This window comes from Homo sapiens, chromosome 8, assembly GCF_000001405.40.
Source record: "Homo sapiens chromosome 8, GRCh38.p14 Primary Assembly".
Taxonomy (NCBI): Eukaryota; Metazoa; Chordata; class Mammalia; order Primates; family Hominidae; genus Homo; species Homo sapiens.
Window position 1 is genome coordinate 19,497,331 of NC_000008.11, and position 20,789 is coordinate 19,518,119.

Below are 20,789 nucleotides of genomic sequence, written 5' to 3' on the forward strand. Positions count from 1 at the left end.
AATACTCAGGGAAAACAACCTCTACCCCAAACACAAGGTATCTCAAAAGGGATTTGAAGTCTGTGGTAACTACAGCAACAACAAACCTCAAACCCAGCCCCCTCCTGACTACTCATCTCCTACCTCCCCCGACCACATCAAGACACAAAGCAATCATGAGAACCAGACTCAGGTATGATACAGATGCTGGAGCTATCTGACGGAGAATTTAAAACAACCATGAATAATATGTTAAAGGCTCTAATGGAAAAGTGGACAACAATTATATGGGTCACTTCTGCATAGAGATGGAAGTAAGAATCACATGGAAATGCTAGAAATAAAAAATACAGTAAGAGCAACCTAAAAATCCTGGATCATTCTGTGAAAGGAAAATAAATCCTCGGGCCTCCAAATTACTAAGCTAAAGAGAAAAGTCAAACTGTGAACTGCTCAGGACCAACCTGCCTCCCTAATGTATTCAAAGTCACCCCTCTGCTCCCTGAGATAAATGCATATCTGATTGCCTACTTTGGAGAGGCTAATCAGAAACTCAAAAGAATACAGCCATTTGTCCCTTACATACCTAAGACCGGGAAGCCCCCTCCCCGCTTTGAGTCTTACCACCTTTGCTTTGAGTTGTCCTGTCTTTCCAGACCGAACCAATGTTCATCCTACATATGTTGATTGATGTCTCATGTCTCCCTAAAATGTATAAAGCCAAACTGTGCCCTGACCACCTTGGGCATATGTCATCAGAACCTCCTCAGGCTGTGTCAACGGGCACGTATCCACGACCGTGACAAAATAAACTTTCTAAATTAACTGAGACCTGTCTCAGAATTGTGGGTTCACAATTCAGAGTTCTGTCTCCTCCCTGAGGCAGGTTACCAGGTCTTTCAAGCCTGAGACCTGGCTTTCTCCTCCTTTTCTAGCCCCAAAACAGCTGGGGACATTCTGCACACATGACCAGTATCCATACACACATGTTGATTAAGCCTCGGTGCAGGACCACATCCACAACCGTAACTGATGAAAAACTGGGAGGCTGATTAAAAAACTTCCATCCTTTCCCAACAATGCCTCCTACCCAACACGGGTGAGATGGGAGAGGCTGAGCAGCACTGCCTGCCATACTAATGGGGAGGCACCATTCATGTGCAGGGCGCTCTTTGCCTGCCCATCTCCCCTCCTAAGCCTGCAGCAGCTTCAACTCACGGAGAACACATGTCCTTCCAATTTGTGTACAACCCAGCCAGAACCCCTCTTTCCCCTGAGTCTTTCCATCTCCCCTCCTAAGCCTGCAGCAGCTTCAACTCACACAGAACACATGTCCTTCCAATTTGTGTACAACGCAGCCAGAACCCCTCTTTCCCCTGAGCCTTTCCTGCCCACTCCAGATAAACTCAAGTTCCTTCATCTTTGACCTCCCATAACATCACAAATTTTCTCTCATAACATATTCTTAATAGGAAACATAAGCCAGGAAGAACAGTGATATCTCTATTAAGGAAACAAAAAGGGCCAGATGCAGTGGCTTATGCCTGTAATCTCAATGCTTTGGGATGCCAAGGTGGGAGGATCACTTGAGGCCAGGAGCTCAAGACCAGCCTGCGAAATACAGTGAGACCCCATCTCTATCAAAAGGTTTAAAAAATTGGCTGGACATGGTGGTACACACCTGTAGCCCAGCTGCTCCAAAAGCCGAGGTGGAGGAATCACTTGAGCCCAGGAAGTTGAGGCTACAATGAGCCATGATCGTGCCACTGCACTCCAGCCTGAGCAACAGAGTGAGACCCTGTCTCAAAAACAAACAAACAAACAAACAGAACAAAATTAAAATTAAAAATCCCCAAATCCTCTGACCGACCCATATCTTCTAGGAAGCCTGTCCTATACTCTGGGCTTGCGTAGATGCCCCTTTATTACAGTCACAAAATCTCCAAGGCTTATCTCTATCATGGCATTTACCATATGCTGTCATAACTGTCTTTTAAAGTGTCTGCATCTACCACCAGACCGCAAAATTCTTGAAATAAGGACTGAGCCTCACTCAGCTTTGTGTGTCTGGGGCCTAACACAGTTCTTGGAACATAGTGAGCACTCACATAATGTATGGTGAATGAGTGCAACCTTCCACCCAAAAACAAATAAATAATAAAAACAAACAAATAACGTTTTTTTCCCTGGGAACTAAACTGTTTTGAATAAGGATAATACAATTGACAGCAAAATCACCACAACACAAGGCCTGATTTGCCAGCTTCTGCAATTGCAACAAAATGCTCTGTGCAGAGGCTCCATCTGCCCCAGTCCATGGTCAAAAGAGCTGGTCCTCATCAAAGTTATCAGGAATGTACTGTGAGACTCATAATTCCATGTTCCTTTTCCTTGACCTCTCCCTTCTGTCCCCTCCACCTCGGAGGTAGGACCAGCTACACAGTTTGCAGGGCCCAGTGTAAAATGAAAATGTGGGGCCCCTTAAACATGATTAAGAATGTCAATTCTGAGACACATGAACATTAATTCTAGCATGGGGCTCTTCAGGTTGCAGGATCCTGATGGAGTGCCTGGGTACTGGATTCCCGGCAGTTGCTAGAAATCCAAGACTGGGCCACTCTTTTCTCACCATCACCACAAGGAGGGATTCATTCTACAAAGTACAGCCTCAAGCCATGTATTTGCTTTTAAGTCTCTTATCTCAAATTTTGGAATGAAAAGCATTTATCCTTCCTTATAGGGACTTAAAGCATCAGCAAACGCATGGAGATATTTGAAAGCAGTAAAAGGATAGAGGGGCCTGGTGAGAGAGGAACCTTCTATCACACAGGCCTACTCCACACTGAAGAATAAACCACTGGGTTGTTCCAGAACACAGTGGGGTGACAGTAGTCAGAAGGACCCCGGTTCTGCCACCCTTGCTTCCCTGGGGATTCTGGCTCAGAGTTCCCAAGCCCAACTCACACCCTGATGGCCTTTTGCTGTCCTGCCTGTGAGTCTCCTCCCACTACACCCCAAGTACAAGTGTGACCCACCACTAAGGAGAATCCCCACTCTTCCTTATTTCTGCACCAAGATGTCCACATACCTCTCAAATGCCCAGAATGCACCTGAAAGGCTGTCTTATGATTTCCACCACAAGTCACAAAGTTGCTATCACTGAAATGGCACACTGACATAAGGACCCATTTCCTGTCCGCTAACATCCCCAGCATATTGCTCACCAAACATGCAGGACCTCAAATTCTATTTGACTCATCCAGAGAAGCTTTAGCAAAGTGGTCACAGAGCATTCCTTACAGGCTACTTAGTGATACACCGACAAGTGAAGTAAAAAACTCACTATCCCCGTGAGGTGTTTGTTGAAGAGTACAGGAGGTTGGCATTGACTGTACAACCTGCTAATGTGTGTTTATAGCTATCTCCCTGTGTCTTTGCTTTAAAACGTATCTCAAGGTGCCCTCTTAGTCCATTGTGTGCTGCTATAAACTACCTGGGGCTGGGTTATTTACAAAGAACAGAAATTTATTTTCTCACAATTACGGAGGCCGGGAAGTCCAAGATCAAGGCCCAGGCAGGTTCAGTTGTCTGGTAAGGGCTGTATCCTCCAGAGGAGAGGAATGCAGTGTCCTCCCAGGATAAAAGGCATAAGGGCAGAGGCCGGGCACGGTGGCTCACGCCTGTAATCCCAGCACTTTGGGAGGCTGAGATGGGCCGATCACTTGAGGTCAGGAGTTCGAGACCAGCCTGGCCAACATGGGGAAAGCCCATCTCTACTAAAAATACAAAAATTAACCAAGCATAGTGGCACGTGCCTGTAGTCCCACCTGCTAAGGAGGCTGAGGCAGGAGAATCCCCCGAAACTGGGAGACAGAGGTTGAAGTGAGCTGAGATAGAATCAGCCTGCAGCCTGTGTGACAAAGCGAGACTCCGTCTCAAAAAAAAAAAAAAAAAAAAAAAGAATAAGGGCAAGCTAGCAAATGCTACACAGAACCTCTCTTACATGGGCCTTAATCCCTTATATATATGACAGAGGAGCCCTCATGGCCTAATAATCATCTTTTAAAGGCCCCAACACTTAATGCTATCACGTTGGCAACATCTGAACTTTGGAGGGGACACATTCAAACCACAGCACCCTCAAAGCCTTCACTTTTCTGTGGAACATAGCTTAGGTTCCATCTCATCTCAAAATCAAGCCTTTTGCATCTGACCCACTCTCACCACACTACTAACCCTGCAGAGGCTGGAGGAGGATGAGCCACACAGGCTGGTGACAGAAGAGCAAACCCATGGAAATGGTAGACACAAATGCCTCACATAGGGGTCACATTATCAGATGTTTGGATTGTGAAAGAGAGTTCGGAAAGCTAATTTGTTTGATGGGATGATGTCAAACTTATGTCCAAGGGATCTATTTAAAAACAGGAAATCAGAGCCAAAATATGTGCCACTTAGATCTCAGGATTAGTTTGTATATCCCATCCTGAAGGAATAACTAAACAACATAAAGAGGGATTTTCTGTGTACTTGAGACAAACAGTGAAGCACAGGATTTGATTCCATCTCTACTCTCACTTCTCTTCCCAGATGGTTGTAAAAAATTACTGCGATTACGTAAGAATCCAACACAAAAATCAGTGCCAATGGAACATCTGGGGAAAGGGAAAAGAGAGACAAAAAATCACTTCCTCTGTGTTTTGAGGATAGATAATAATGAAATCAATATAGATAAATTAGACATCTGTCTGATATTTTCCCTCTGCAAGCTTCGCAGAACTGTAGAAAGTGGCCACAGACAGACCAGACCTTATAAGTAACATATCTGATTGCTTCCTTTTATAGAAGAGGATCCCAAAGGGGAGGTGGCTTGTCCTGCCTGGGTCACCCGGCAGGCTGGATGGCAGAGCATCTCTGAGAGATGGTTGCTTGGCAAAGCTATGGAGAAAAGCTTTGTATTTTGCAGACAAGAGAGACCAGAAGGCTGGGCTGGGAAGGGCGACAGAGAACATATATGTTCAGTCTCTTGTTGGTGGATTAGGAAACTGAGTCTCAAGGAGCCTAAGGGTCTTAGTCAAAATCATACCTTCTCAAGCTTGCGTGATCATGCCACTTCTCTCACAATTAGCCTGAAGTGTTACATAACTAGGATCATCTGCAAGCATGCCTTGAACTTTTCTTGTTATTTTTTAAATACAAAGAATCCCCATCTTTGTTATACTACTACATGGTTCACCAAATTTCTTCTCCGTTTGGAACTCTCAAAGTGTGGAGAACTCCTGTTTCTAACCAACTTTTCCCATGGATTTTGAGAAATTGCCTCAACCATGGATTACTGAAACCCAAAACCTCAAATCACTCTAAGGTTAGGAACCCAAAGAAGTTATTTTTAAGATAAATTTCACCCTTATAAAATCCTGTCACTTGCTGTAGCTCATTACAGAACACAAATCTCAAACCAGACCTTTCCATTCCCTTCTTTCTCCTTAACTAGGTGTGGATCAAAGAATTGTGAACCAGGATTGAAAAGGTCCCCAAATGTAATTCAGTCCAATCACCTCTCTGAAGCTAGGATCATCATTTATAACCACCTGGTCAAATGGTCACCCAGTTGATGATAGAATTCTTGTAGTGCCAGGAATCCCACTTTGTTCTGAAACATCACTATTCTCAAAGCTGGCCCCTTATACTGCACTTAATTCTATCACACCTGCAGCTTCCTCTGACTAGTAGAATCTTTCCTAAGGCTCTGCTTCCTGTGACTATCAAAGATTGCCTCCACAATCTTGTGGTATTGATAATATTTTTCAAAATGAAATAAACTGCTCATCATAGTTCAATCTCTATAAATATATTTAAAGTATTTGCCTTTATTTACTCATCAACGAAAACAGTTGACTAGACTTTCACCAAATATGGAAGACACATGTGGGTCTGTCTGCCTTTAAAAAGCTGTGTGCTGCCCACGAAATCAATACTGAGTAGCTATAATGTGTCTCTAAAAGAAGGTCAGCCAAGCCTCAGAGCAAATATACTGAGGGGCAAGAGGCTGGTGTCACTGCTGATTGAGAAAGATAGGCCTTACGTGTTAAACTACTGTGCATAGAATAGCAGATAGATTTCAAATATGAATGCAGATTGAACATCACAAGGTCACACATTCCAAATTGCAGACACTGATTTGCAATCAAGTTCTTTTGAAACTGCTCTGTATGTGGGCAGCTCTATGTAGCACACCCCAGGGAGAGTGACAACCAGGATTTTTTTTTTTAATGATGTTTAATGATTTTCCCTGAGGGTCGGCTAGTAAACTAATACATGTGGAAATGCTTTATAAACTGTAAAGTACTATAAAATGTGATGTTGCATTATCATGATTCTAATTTTGAACTCTTACTGTGTGCTTACCATGTGCTTATACAGGTTAGCTCCTGAACATTCTAGACATTTTTACTGTTTCATATGAATGAGTTTTTTTTTTTTTTTAATCTCACACCAAAGATGATCTTGTAAAAGATTTCTTTACCTGGCTCTAGGCACATAAAACTGATGATACACTAAAATTGCATCAACTTATGGTTCACTTATCAAGTCTAAAAAAGCATAAAAGAAGAAAGTGTCCAAAGAACACAGGCATGAACAGCAGCAGGAGGCTTTTTGATTTGATGGAAGAGAGTCAGTTTTGCCTGTAGGCCCATGAGACAGTGGTTGTATAACCAAAGCAGTGAGTGGTGTTAGGTGGACACAGCTATATTTCTGGGCAAGATGAATTATTATTATTTTTTGAGACGGAGTCTCTCTCTGTCACCCAGGCTGGAGTGCAGTGGTGTGATCTCGGCTCACTGCAAGCTCTGCCTCCTGGGTTCACGCCATTCTCCTGCCTCAGCCTCCCAAGTAGCTGGGTCTACAGGCGCCCGCCACCAGGCCCGGCTAATTTTTTGTATTTTTAGTAGAGATGGGGTTTCACCGTGTTAGCCAGGATGGTCTCGATCTCCCGACCTCATGATCCGCCTGCCTGGGCCTCCCAAAGTGCTGGGATTACAGGCGCGAGCCACTGCACCCGGCCAGATGAATTATATTCTTTTCAGAAATGGGGAAAGAACTAGATGTCCTTGAAGGTACTTCTTTTCCCAAATTATTAGTTGATTTTTGAACCAGTAACAATAGATAAGTTAAAAAGACATTAACTTCCAAGAAACTGGACAAGGCTGCTGTCTTCTAAAATTAGACACAAACACAAATTAATACTAGGCTGTCCTACGCCCGTGAAAAAAAAGATGAGCCGTCATCTCACTAGTTTCCATGTGCTCTGACAATCTGTATGATATAATGTAGAGGTTAAGGACATGGACTCTGGAGTTAAGACTTCCAGGGTTCAAATCCTGGTTCTGTCACTTGTTAGCTGAGCAACTTTAGCTATTTAATTAATTAAATTACACCTCCATTTCCTCATTCCCTAATGGGGTCATTTCATGGGAAAAGAATAAGTGTGGCTGGCACATGTAAGTGCAATAATATGTGCGTGTTATTATTCTGTTCATGAGCTTGCTAACCAAGCTCAGTTACTAGAAGTGCCCTGTCATATTTTATTTGGGTTTCAAAGTTTTATGTTTATCTATTTTTAAAATGAAAGGAAGAAGTTCTACCTTCTTCTGCCAAGGAACAATGAAACTGTCCACTCAATGACCGTGGTTTCCATGAGAAAGTAAGTGGAAACAGATGTTTCTGAAAAATAAAAAGCCATGCCGTACCTTTTGGTGTCACACACATAAAACTTTCCGCCAGCCATCCCAGAGCCAGCTGCCAGCCTCCTGGAGCTGGAACCTGCCTGGGTGCCAGGAACCCCCAATTCCTTTTCTTCTCCTTTCCCCCCAATTCACAAAATGCTAACCTTCTATGAAATCAGAGGCCGTGTAAGGACGGTGATTGGGGCTGTTCTCTGCAGGACTGTTCAGGGTCTCCAAGGCTGATTCAATGGCTTCCACCAACTCATCCCGCTTGTCCTTCCTCACAGGCTTCTCCTCGGGGTGGCGGGTAAGGCCAGTCTCCAGCTGGTACACCTTCTGTAGAGTAAAGCTATCGAAAGGCACTGCTGCATACTCTGTGGCCAGCTTGACGCCAGCATTCACCTCTGCCTTGTCCACCTGCGAGTGCAGGAAGGCCAGGAGGTCGGCCTGGGTTTTCTCTGGGGGGCTCCTGTCCAGACCCAGGCCAGCAGCATCGCTGGCTTGGTACTGCCCATTCCTGAGCTGCTCACTCCTCTCCTGCAGCTCCTCCTTGAGCTGTGCGATCTGCCGCTTCAGGCTGCTCACGTAGTTGCGGTGCTGCTCCTCCCACTCCTGAAGGACGGCCTGGTACCCCTCCTTCCCCGTGGGGCTGTTGGCCCTGGGCAGTGCCAGCTGCTCCTCGTCACCTTTTGGGGTGCAGGCCAACATGTACAGGACAGAGATAGCACAGCAGAGGAGCACCAGCAAAACCACCACCCGGGAAATCCACGCAAGCAGCCCCCGGCGAACCATCATCATTCAGGAATCAGCCATGCGTCCAGAACCGGTGGCATCCCTCAAAGCCGGGGCCCCCACGGAAGGGCTTCCCTGGGCTAGACCACAGGAAGCATGCGTTTGGGGCCCCCGGAGCTGCTTGCATCCATTTCCTTCTAGAACGAGTTCTGCCTCTTGGAGTTAACCACCACACAGAGCAGCTTCTCTACTTTTAAAGGATGATCTTGCAGGCAGAAGCAATGACTGAAGTGAAATCTCCAAGTTTTCACCTTCATTCCCATCACAGCCTTCCTGATGTGCAGCCAACAGCAAGAGGGGACCTGGGAAGAAACACAAATGACATCAACACTTAATCAAGACAACGACTCCCTCATGTTCCCTACGGCAATCAATATCCAATAGATCTCCTGTGAGAGTTATGGCAAATGCCTATGATAGATGATTAAATATTGTTAAATGTGTATAAATCAGAACACAAACGCACATCTGCAGTGTAACGCAAATAAGCAACAAAGGACAGAGAAAAAAGATTGGAAGGAAAATGGCAAAATCTGAACAATAATTCTCTCCAGATGGAAAGATTAAGAGTCATCTTTCTACTTCTATTTTTCTGTATCTGGTAATTTCTGCATAGTGGCGCAAGTCCTGATGGTTAAAGGGAGAAAAGCAAAAATGTTAATGACACTGGAGTTGCTGGCAGCGGACTACTTGGCCGGAGACTGTGCTGTGTTTGTTTGTCCCCTCCAAGTCTTATGCTGAAATATGATCCCCAGTGTTGGGAGGTGGGGCCTGGTGGGAAGTGTTTAGATCATGGGAGTGGATCCCTCAGGCATAGCTTAGTGCCATTCTTGCTGGAGTGAGTTGGCACTCTTAGCTCCCATGAGAACTCCTTGTTGAAAAGAGCCTGGCTCTTTGTCTCTCTCTATCCCCACTCCCTCCTGCTCCCACCATATAATGCCTGCTGACCGTCACCTTCCACCATGAGTGGAAGCAGCCTGAGGCTTTCATCAGAAGCAGATGCTGGTGCCATGCTTCCTGTACAGCCTGCAGAACTGTGAGCCAGATAAACCTCTTTTCTTTTTAAGTTACGCAGCTTCAGGTATTCCTTTAGAGCAGCAAGAATGAACTAAGCCTGCCAGCAGGCGTGGATGCAGCCAGGTGAGCCCACATGTGTTCACCTGTGTGCACTCACTTAGAGCAGGCCTGAAAGAGGATCGACATGGTTCTGAGCTTTCTGATCAGGAACTGGGGAAGCACCCAGAGGTTCAAATATACAAATAATAAATGTGGATGGTAACACATCCAGAAGGGATCAGGGGACAATGGTTCCAGCTAACTCTTTGATGCTGCTTACAGACAGGAGATGAATTTATCATAGAAGGGATGAGGATGGGAGAAGAAGAGAGATCAGATTCAGAAATACTGTCCTGTTGGGACCCAAATCCCAGTTATATCTCTGCTCCAGTGTCTATGAGGAATTCTGTGTCCTGATAGTTCATAAGAAATACTCAGACGGGTCCCAGGACTTTTCACATGCTCTGCACCTCAACTCTCAATCTCAACAAATGAGAAGCCAGTCTGCCTGCCTTCTCCATTTCCCCCTGGGGTCACCCTTCCTGTTCCTCCACTCATCATGGACATTTCCACAGCACACTCCTCTTCAGATGTTCTCCTTCCTTAATCCCTTTTCCTTGTCTTCCCCTACCCATCTTAGCCAGAAAAAAAAAAAAAAAAAAAAAAAAGAATGATTAATGGAAAATAGACCAAATAGAATTTCTTGTCTAGGGACATTTTAATGAAACCTTCCTAAATGCATCTTTCTTTTTTTCTCTTTGTCGAGACAGAGTCTCGCTCATCGCCAGGCTGGAATGCAGTGGCGCGATCTCTGCTCACTGCCATCTCTGCCTCCTGGGTTCAAGCGATTCCCCTGCCTCAGCCTCCTGAGTAGCTGGGACTACAGGCACGCATCACCACCCCTGGCTAATGTTTTTGTATTTTAGTAGAGACGGGGTTTCACCATGTTGGCCAGGATGGTCTCTATCTCCTGACCTTGTGATCCGCCCGCCTCGGCCTCCCAAAGTGCTGGGATTACAGGCGTGAGCCGCCGTGCCCGGCCCTCCTAGATGCATCTTTCTATATCACTTCACTCACAAACAAGATCCCTGAGGGTATCATGCCTTTGCCATTTTATAAAAACTTGTCATTTTAAGTGATCCTCATGATAACTAAATTATTCTTTATATAGTCTTCACCCGACTCAGAAAGCCAGATTCTGGGCCAATAATCATCTCATTTACTGGTAGTCTATCCTATTTACCGATGAGAAGAAGAGCTCAGCCCAGTCAATTCACACGTTCAGGACCCTTGGGAGAAAAGAGAGAGATGTTCCTCTCAAAGACAGAATGTTAACAACCTCCTTTACTTGAATATTCACTTGCTATGCACTATGTCTACACAACAGTTCCTCTTCTATTACCCAGGAGATGTGCCTTTTAGTGATATCACTATGCCATCAAAATAGTTTATTTCTCAACTTTTCTGAGAAATTCAACACTTAACATTCTAATATTTCCTTCAGCCCAAGGATTCTCTCTACTGTAATTTAGAACAACACACAGTTATTAGTGCTAAGTTTAAAGTGCATGTTTAGCCCTGGAAGCCTTTTCCATCTGATGAAAATCTTGGGATTTATATAATTACTGTAATTCTGTGATTGAAAACAGCTCAGCTTTGGTGTTCAGGCACCTTGCTGTTTCTAATGAAGTCTCTTAGATAAACTCATTATATCCAAGAATTAAATTACCAGTGAAGACATGTTATCGTGCTATTCTGCCACTTTCAACACTCCTACTTTAAAAAGATTGTCGTTAAAGACAAAACAAGCAAATCAAGAAACAAAAATGGAGTAGTCAACACATTTTGTTGTGTTGTGGAAACTTAAATTATGCTGTTTTTCTCTCAGGGTTTTCTAATAAAATGGTTGTATTTGCATAAAAGATGAAAAGCATGTTGGCTAACTGAACACTATTTAAAAACTAAATCGGTGATTTGAAAATTTAAAACTGGAATATCTTTTTGTTCTGTTCTATAATTTTCTTCAAGATCTAGTTTGGCTTTTGAAATTCACTAGTATAAATTTCAAAGTTATTTGGTATTCCACTCTTTGGAGAAAAGAAGAAAAAGTGGAAAAGACAGATTTTTAGGAAGGATGGGCATTTTTAATAGAAATAACAAAAAGTCATAAGAACTGCTGCCAAGGAGGCAGCAATGAATTTTTCCTTTGAAACGTCAGAAGCAGATAACGTGTGTCGGAAACAAAATTCCATTCTTTAACAGACAAAATATCTCTGAACCGTTCCAGCAATCTCATCTGTAATCAAACGCTTAAAAACTGGTTATACTGAAGAGGCTGGGAGTATCTGCTTCCTGAAGTCAGAAGAGGCTTTTACCCTTCGGATTCTTGCTTCTGTGAAGACTTCATGTTTTTCCTTCGGTAGCACAAAACATCATTCTTAAAAGTGGGTGTTGGCCGGGCACGGTGGCTCACACCTGTAATCCCAGCACTTTGGGAGGCCAAGACTGGCAGATCATTTAAGGTCAGGAGTTCAAGACCAGCCGGCCAACATGGTAAAACCCCGCCTCTACTAAAAATACAAAAATTAGTCAGGTATCGTGGTGCGTGCAGCCTGTAATCCTAGCTAATGTGGAGGCTGAGGCACGAGAATCGCTTGAACCCGGGAGGCAGAGGTTGCAATGAGCTGAGATTGCACCACTGCACTCCAGCCTGGGCAACAGTGCAAGACTCTGTCTCAAAAAAAAAAAAAAAAAAAAAAAAAAATGGGTGTCACCACCTCTGCCACCTTCAGGAAAAAAACACCTTGATGAGACATAACTGGACCAATACATACCTAAGCCACAAAATCTCTGTGCAATCTCCTTCTCTGAGCAACAGTGGGAGAATTAAAGAGTTAAAATTTATATGTTCACAGACTTGCAGATGGAAAGCAACGTGTAATTACCAAGCACTACTAGAAGTTAGAGATGACAGTGAAAATACAGCTTTATGTGATCACAGCAGCATTGAGCTACTATTTTAAGAACTTAGAAAGGCACCCACATTTTTAGACCAGGTCAATCTCTTGGGGGTGGCTGTGGGACAGAGAGAGTAGGGAGCAAGGAGTCCCTGTCAACAACAAATTTTAGGACCCCTGGAAGAAGGGAGATACATAATTCCCGTTTTTTGTTTTTTTAATTGTAGAAAATCCTTATGCTCATCAGGTTTCTTGACACTGCCATTTTTAAATGTTCATCCTTACTAATTGTTTTGCCTAATACTTTCCTATCCCTGGCCAAATCCCCAGGGATGGAACTGTGATGCATCACATCTGAAACTGTGGATTTCTTGATTAGAATGAAGGAGATATCCAAGCGCAATGCCTTTCCTGCCATTCTTACAATCTCTGGGCAACAAAACAATGGGAGAAGGCTTCTTCATGGTCTTCTGTGAAAGCAAAACACTCCTGCAGAGCAATGCTTGTAGGACTCACTCCGATCTGAGACCCAGAAACAACCTCCAAATAACACAGCAATGAATAAACAATAGACGACAGTCTCAGTCCACTCTATCTAGGATTCTGTCTTTATTCATCCATACAACAAATAGGCACTAAGCACTTAGTATGTTCAATGCACTGTATAAAAAGTTCCAGGAGATGAAAAGGTGAACCAAGAACAAATCCCAGCCTCAACAAATTTACTAGCTTGTAGAGGAACTAACGTCCTTTCAAATAACTATAATCTGAGCCCCAAACAGACAAATACCATTAAAATAGATATAAAGTGTTAATGTCATGTTCCCACCGACCAAACGTATGGGTGAGGAGTGGGAGATGGGAGGATCTGAAAAGTACAAATATAATACATTTTAAAACGACAGAAGTTTAAGATAAATGTTATGTGTCATCAATATTTGTCAAGATAAGATATCCAAGTAGTTACAGATACTGTTTACCATTTCATCTCAGAAGGTAAAACAAAGGCAGGTCAGGTTTGTTTCACAGCCTAAGACTTAAACGAAATGTGGCCAGTGCATACCGGGATTTCTATGACTAGGACAGAAGTTGCTCTCAGTTTGAGTGTAAGCATTTCACTCTGCAGATTTCAGTGAACGTTTTGGTCACGAGAGCTGTGTACTCTGCCAAGATATGCCTACTAATGTCCACAAGAAGCTCATAAATCAAGAAAGACTCAAGGACAAGCCCTGCTGATGACACGCTGTCAGGGTCAGCAGCAGGCAGAAAGGACAGTGGCTTCATGGCAAGGCCAGGGCAGGCAGCACTACATGCTACAATGACAGGCCTTGTAAGTGATAAAGGCAACTATTCAAGGAGTGGCAATAAATTCTGCAAGACATCTCCACCCCGTGTGCAGACACAGCCAAAAGGCTTGATGGAGAAAAAAACAAGCAGTGTCTATGGGGTCAGGAAGTGGTAGACCAAAGCCCTAATGCCGCAGTGCGAGTCTATTCCACTTGGGCACATACAATCAGCTCTTTGACAGCAAGGGCACAAACTAACCTTCAATCAAAGGATTAGCTGTACCAACAGAACATAAACTCAAGTCATATCTCTCGGATAAACATACCATCCTGGAGGTGTGTGGAAAGGATTCTTATTCAGAGTTTTCAAATGCTCTCAAAAATGGATATAAAGTCAGCACTGTAAACTTTATTTGAACATATGGCTTCATTTAGAATTCCCTCTACCCCAGTTGAATTCCTGTAGGCAGGGTGTGATAGCCAGGTTCCAAGATGGCCCTCAATGGTCCCTGCCTCCTGGTATTCATACCACTGTGTGTCTGCTCCCACACTGTACTGGGGTCTTGATGTGAGTGACTGTATTAGTCTGTTCTCACACTGCTATGAAGAACTACCTGAGACTGGGTAATTTATAAAGAAAAGAGGTTTAATTGACTCACAGTTCCACAGCTGTACAGGAGGCATGGCTGGGGAGGCCTCAGGAAACTTACAATCATGGTGGAAGGGAAACCAAGCATATCTTCACATGGCAGCAGAAGAGACAGAAGGGGGAAGTGTTACACACTTTTTAAACAACCAGATCTTGCGAAAACTCACTCACTATGATGAGAACAGCAAGTGGGAAATCTGCCCTCCATGATCCAATCATCTCCCACCAGGTCCCTCCCTCAATACTGGGGATTACAATTCAAAATGAGATTTGGGTGGGGACACAGAACCAAACCCTATCAGTGACCAACCAATATGGCAGAAGAAGTGGTATGGCATTTGTGAGATTAAGTTGTAAAAGGGGGCAGCTTCTGTCTTGGGTGCCCTCTCTCCCAAGCAAGCTGCTGTGTTGTGAGCAGCCTTGTGGAGGGGCCCATGGATGAGGAACTGAAGCCTCCAGCTGACCGACAGCTAGCAAGGAACAGAGGCAGGCCTGCCGGCAACCCCCTGAAAGAGCTTGAAAATGCGTTCTGCAGCTACAGGTAAGGCCTGAGATGACTGCAACCAGAGAGCTTGATTGCAACCCTGAACGAAAACTATCCAGCTAAGCTGCTCCCAGACTCCTGACCCTAAGACCTTGTGAGATAATAAATGTTTGTTACTTTAAGCTAAAGTTTTGGAATAATTTATTACATTCCAACAGATAGATAACTAATTCACAGGGTCACAGACTTCAGATTTACATAAAAATGCTATCTCTCAACCATACACTATTTTTCATTTTATAAAATGTTTTAATATGTCTTACCTCCTATGATGCAATAATCTTGTGCCATCAGAAATACATTACTATAATCAGTTCTCCGTTTGAGAAAATAAGGCTCAGAGAAGTTATGCGACTTGTCTAAAACCACACAACCTGCAAGATATAGAAATCGGACTCAAACCCATCTTTGACTTGAAGCCCAATATGCTTTCTACCAAAGCCCTCCGAGATTTTATTCTTGAACAATGGTCATTAATCCAAAAATGTTTTCTTTAAGTGTCAGGGACTTTAGGAAATCTGTAAAGTTAAAACAGAGGAACACTGTTTCCAGAAACCAGAGTCAACAATGGTGTGTTGTGTAGAAGTAGCTGACTATTACAGCACACGGGCCAAGTTAACTGAGAAGTGATGAAGCACAGCAGCTCTGCTTCCCTTCCAGTCATTGTCTTTGCAGCCAACGGCAGCACAACCCACCAAGCTGCTTAAGCCAGAGGCAGGAAAACCATCCCTAGCCCTTCCTTCTCCATCATCTTCTGCCATTGACTCATCACCATGTCAACATGCTTCCTGTTCCAAAAGTATCTCAAATCAGTTCTTGCATCTCTACCTCCACCACCACCCTACTCAAGGCTCCATCATCTCCTACCAAGACCATGCACTAGACACTGAATATTAGAGGTGGGTGGTAGCACCCAGGACATAGGAGGATAGCGACAATGTGGGAGAAAAGAGGACAGCAAAGGTCTTAAGATCAAAGGAAAATACCGCAAAATGTAACGGAAGACACACGAAAGCCACTATAATGATTGAAAGACCCTAACGCTCCCAATTCCTACACCCAGTACATTCTGTTCATAGAATTTTCTCTCTCTCACTCTCTCTCTCTCTCTCTCTCTATATATATATATATATATATATATATTTTGTGCCATCTGCCTGCTGTTAAAGAAAATGAGTATATACAACCAACACCTACAACTGCTAGAATCCACAATAATCTATCTCTTATACACACTTAATTAGTTTAGGGCTGAGGCACAGTTATGCCATTGCTTAATGAAAGAAAAATGTTCTGAGAGATGCATCATCAGGCAATTTTGTTGTTGTGTGAAGATCATGGAGTGTATTTTCACAAAGCTAGATGGTAGACCTACCGCACACCTGGGCCATATGGTATAGCCTATTGCTTCTAGGCTAACAAACCTGTACCACATGTGGCTATAATAAATACTGCAGTCAACTGTAACACTATGGTATTTGTGTATCTAAACACATCTAGACAAAGAAAGGGTACAGTAAAAATATAGTATTATAATTATAGAACCACCCACATGTATTCGGTCCACTGACAAAATGTTACACATCACATAACTATACTTTCAAAGAAGCCAAAATGACCTGAAAATGAGCATAATAGCTCATCATCTCCCCAAACCACATCCACCCAGAAGTTTCAGAGCAGGGTTTTCAGGTGTCAGAGATCTTTCTGGAATGCAGGTTTCTTTTTTCCATTGAGACTTTCATTAGCATCTATCTATGGGCCAAGTGCTTTATCTTCTGCTACGTTCCTGACAGCAACTAAAGCAGATCAGTATTACTGTGTATGCACTAAGAGGTGCTTGAGCCAAATCCCAGCGAGAGGACAGGGGTCCCACTGGGGAGTCAACAATTAAATGCCAAGAGTTTGGAGTTGGCTGTGGAAGGATCTGAAGCCTTCTTCCCTGACCCCCTCCAGCCCTGACACCGAGCTACTTAGCACAGGTACTGGCTCGGGTTTCACACAGACAGCAATCTGTGTGGACAGCTGCCTTGGTGGCCCTAGCAGTTTTGCTGCTTTTCCTCCTCTTTCCTCAATACTCAAGACCAGCTGTCTCCAAACATTAATTAAACAAAAATAGCACATTTCAGGCATCATATGACTTTTGAACAGAGACTATATATATATATATATATATATATATATATATATACATGTATCTATTTAAAAATTATATACAGGCCAGGCACAGTGGCTCTCGCCTGTAATCCTAGTGCTTAGGGAGGCTGAGGTGGGCAGATCCCTTGAGGTTAGGAGTTTGAGACCAGACTGGCCAACATGGTGAAACCCCGTCTCTACCAAAAAAAAAAAAATACAGAAGAGAATTAGCCTGGCATGGTGGCTCATGCCTGTAGTCCCAGCTGCTTGGGAGGCTGAGGAAGGAAAATCACTTGAACCTGGGAGGTGGAGGTTGCAGTGAGCTGAGATCACTCCACTGTACTCCAGCCTGGGGGACAGAGTGAAACTCCGTCTCCAAAAGAAAATAAAAATAAAATATTAAATACAAGCTTTATAATGTAGTATTATGTATTTACAATATATCTAAAATAATAAAGCGTAAAATATTTTTAAATAATATTGTCTCACCCTGATGGACCATCCTGGAGCCCACAGATACCTAGCTCCAGGTTTCCAGTAGTTGATCTTCTGACTGCATTACAAGTGTCCTTGGGGCAGGGCTCTTGCCACAACTGATTCCAGGTCCCCAGTGCCAGGATCATGCCTTGATCCCCCATTCCTTCGGGAACCCAGCCTCAGAGTGCCTTTCCTGCCTCTGGACCCCACTGTCTCTATCTCAGGTCCCTAGCACCTGCTGTCAGGCCATGTCCTTTCCTGCCTCTGGACCCCACTATCTCTATCTCAGGTCCTCAGCACCTGCTGTCAGGCCATGTGACCAAACTGCCGGGACTCCACCCACAACCCACTTCCCTTCCTTCCTCACCCAAAAGACTTAGGCTCAGCCTTCAAGATGCTCCTTGAGTCTTCCCTGTGAGGTCCCCCTATCTGCAGACTCAGAGGGCGTGTTCTCCAGGGACCAGCACTGACCCAGCCCAGGGGAATGGGCTTGCAAATGACTTCACAGTCAGGAATTCCCTAGTTGGGAGGGATCCTCCATCCCCTCAACTCCTCGTTGGTCTTTTAAAAGAATTCTCAATAGAAAAGCAACTGAGAATAAACACATAAGTGTAAATCAAAAAAATAAATAACTAAGTAAAAGAATTCTGATTCAATTTCCCTGCCTTGAAGCAGAAAAAGGGAAATGTGGCAAAAAGAAGCTGGCACCTGCTAATCAGAAAATGAAAGCACACTGATCACAACCACAAGCACCAAAAGGTCAAGAAACAGACTCAAGTCCTATTTTTTTTTTATTTTGATTTTTAATTTGCTGGCAAACTTTTAGAGAGGAGGCTTGATGGAGAGGGGCTTCCTGTCTATGCCAGACCGTCTAGTCCCATTCCTTACAACTGCCACCCTTGCTTCAGGAAGACCTAAGGCAGGTAGTTGGCATGGGTGGTGGTCATGGACCCCAGAAGGTGCAATGAGGGCAGGACACTGGCATAAGAAGATGCTACTCAAGCCAGGTGTACAGAATAAAGACGCTTCTTCCAGCTGTAAGACATCTCAAGCACACATGTGGGGCTGAGTCAGCTGCCAAACCCCGCAAGGAGACCTGACTCCCGGAGTCTTTTGGGGCTCTTGGTGCCGGTTCTCACCCCAAACTGAGAACCGCATGAAACCAGCCTTCCAACACCCTCCCCTCGTTCATAATTACAAGCACTTAGTGAGCATTTACGTTGGGGCCAGACATCATACAAAGCACTTCACAAATATTATCTCATTTAATCCTCAAAACGATCCTATGAGCTACATCTTATTAACCCCATTAAAGAAACAGAAACTGAAGCTTAAAGCAATGAAGTAACTTGACCCAGATGTTCAGCTGGCAAGTAGCAGAGCCCAGCTTCAAACCCAGCTCCGTCTGATTCTTACCCACTACGCTATACTGTTCAACCCGCTTCATAATCTCAAACTGCTTGCTGAGACCTGCTCCTCATTCTACACCCAGCGTGTCCAATTTTTCTTGTTTCTGAACTCATAAATATTATTTATGAGCTTGCCTGGCCCCTCAAACGTGGCATGAATCACTGCTTCTCTAGTTAAAATGTTTTGTACCCCCATGTAGCCGTGATCTGCATTTACACATCTCTCAACAGCTAGGCAAACTCACACTATCCTGACAAATAATCCCCATCCCGGTGTGAGCCTTGCTCTGTCCCTGCAACTAGGGCCAGGCAGAATATCTTCGCAACATTCAAGTGTTTCTAAGTGATTCCACCAGACCCTCCAGCCGTGTGGCCTCCACAGACCAGGCTCTGGGTGGGCTGGGGGAATGTCACCCATTACTCCTTGGGCCTGGCCCTTAGGCTTCCATGATGGGAGCCCCCAGGAGGGGGTGAGATGCTGGAAGTGGCTGCTTTCTGGGGATCGAGGTGAACACAGCGGCCACGGCAGTCTCAGTGGTTCAAGTGCTGCCTTTGCTCCTGGAGTTTCCATTTCCAGCTGGAATCTGCAGCCACATTTATTTCCTGTTCTCCATTCCCTACTTTGGCCATGACCCACTGCCCACCTGGAGAGGTGGTTGGTTTTTAGTTGAGATGCCTCAAACCTGATATGTGGGTGTAAGACGCCAGGAGTTTATACTCACATATCAAGTTCGAAGCATCTCAACTAAAAAGCATCACGGCAAGTAGAATTTTTAAGCAACTAAGAAATGTTCTTTGAAAGAAGAAAAAGAGGGCCAGGCATGGTGACTCACATCTGTAATCCCAGCACTTTGGGAGGCCGAGGTGGGAAGATCACCTGAGTTTGGGAGTTCGAGATCAGCAGCCTGACCAACATGGAGAAAAACCATCTCTACTAAAAATACAAAATTAGCTGGGTGTGGTGGCACATGCCTGTAATCCCAGTTGCTCGGGAGGCTGAGGCAGGAGAATCGCTTGAATCTGGGAGGCAGAGGTTGCCGTGAGCCGAGATTGCACCACTGTACTCCAGCATAGTCAACAAGAGTGAAACTCCATCTCAAAAAAAAGAAAAGAAGAAAAAGAGAATATCTCTAGAAGGGTTAAAGTGATCACTGTGGAAGGCTCTCCTGCAAAACACTGTGTATTAGTCTGTTTTCATACTGCTGATAAAGACGTGCCCGAGAGTGGGTCATTTATAAAGAAAAAGAGGCTTAATGGACTCACAGTTCCACATGGCTGGGGAGGCCTCACAATCATGGCAGAAGGGGAACAGTTCGTCTTACAAGGCAGCACTCAAGAGAGAATGAGAGCCAAGCCAAAGGGGTTTCCCCTGACAAAAACATCAGATCTCCTGAGACTTATTCACTATCAGGAGAACATTATAGGGGAAACCACACCCATGATTCAATTATCTCCCACCAGGTCCCTCCCACAACATGTGGGAATTATAGGAGCTACAATTCAAGATGAGATTTGGGTGGAGACACAGCCAAACCATATCACACTCAGTTCTCTCTTCTTTCCTCTAGAGCACTGCAAAAGTAGATGCCCATGTAATGGCCATGTGTCAAACTAACATTCTTCTGTGCAGGCAGAAACCAGCCCTGGCACTGGGGAGACTCCAAGACTCAGGAAAGTAAGCACCTGGAGAGATCAGGGTCTGAGGTAGCATCACACAGCTTCTAGAGAAATGCATGCTGTTAATTAACAAAGAGGGGACTAATTTAAAAATGAGCAA

General features: G+C 44.2%; 1 protein-coding gene across 60 annotated transcripts in view; it reads right to left on the reverse strand.

Annotated features, from left to right (window-relative positions):
• CSGALNACT1 (chondroitin sulfate N-acetylgalactosaminyltransferase 1) overlaps positions 1 to 20,789 on the reverse strand; it is a 353,748-nt gene that overhangs the window by 93,170 nt on the left and 239,789 nt on the right. For 57 of the 60 annotated variants that reach the window (NR_148898.2, NR_148900.2, NR_148899.2 and 54 more), the window contains one exon: positions 7,871 to 8,800. Coding sequence is in view for 52 of the 60 variants with exons in the window: in NM_001354476.2 (NP_001341405.1) it covers positions 7,871 to 8,504 (634 nt within the window). In the remaining 8 variants the exon portion in view is untranslated. Of the gene's footprint in view, positions 1 to 7,625; positions 7,705 to 7,870; positions 8,801 to 8,964; positions 9,207 to 17,615; positions 17,870 to 20,789 lie in introns of those variants that run through there. The other 3 variants (NR_148897.2, XM_017013625.2, XM_006716364.4) reach the window with 3 other exon arrangements.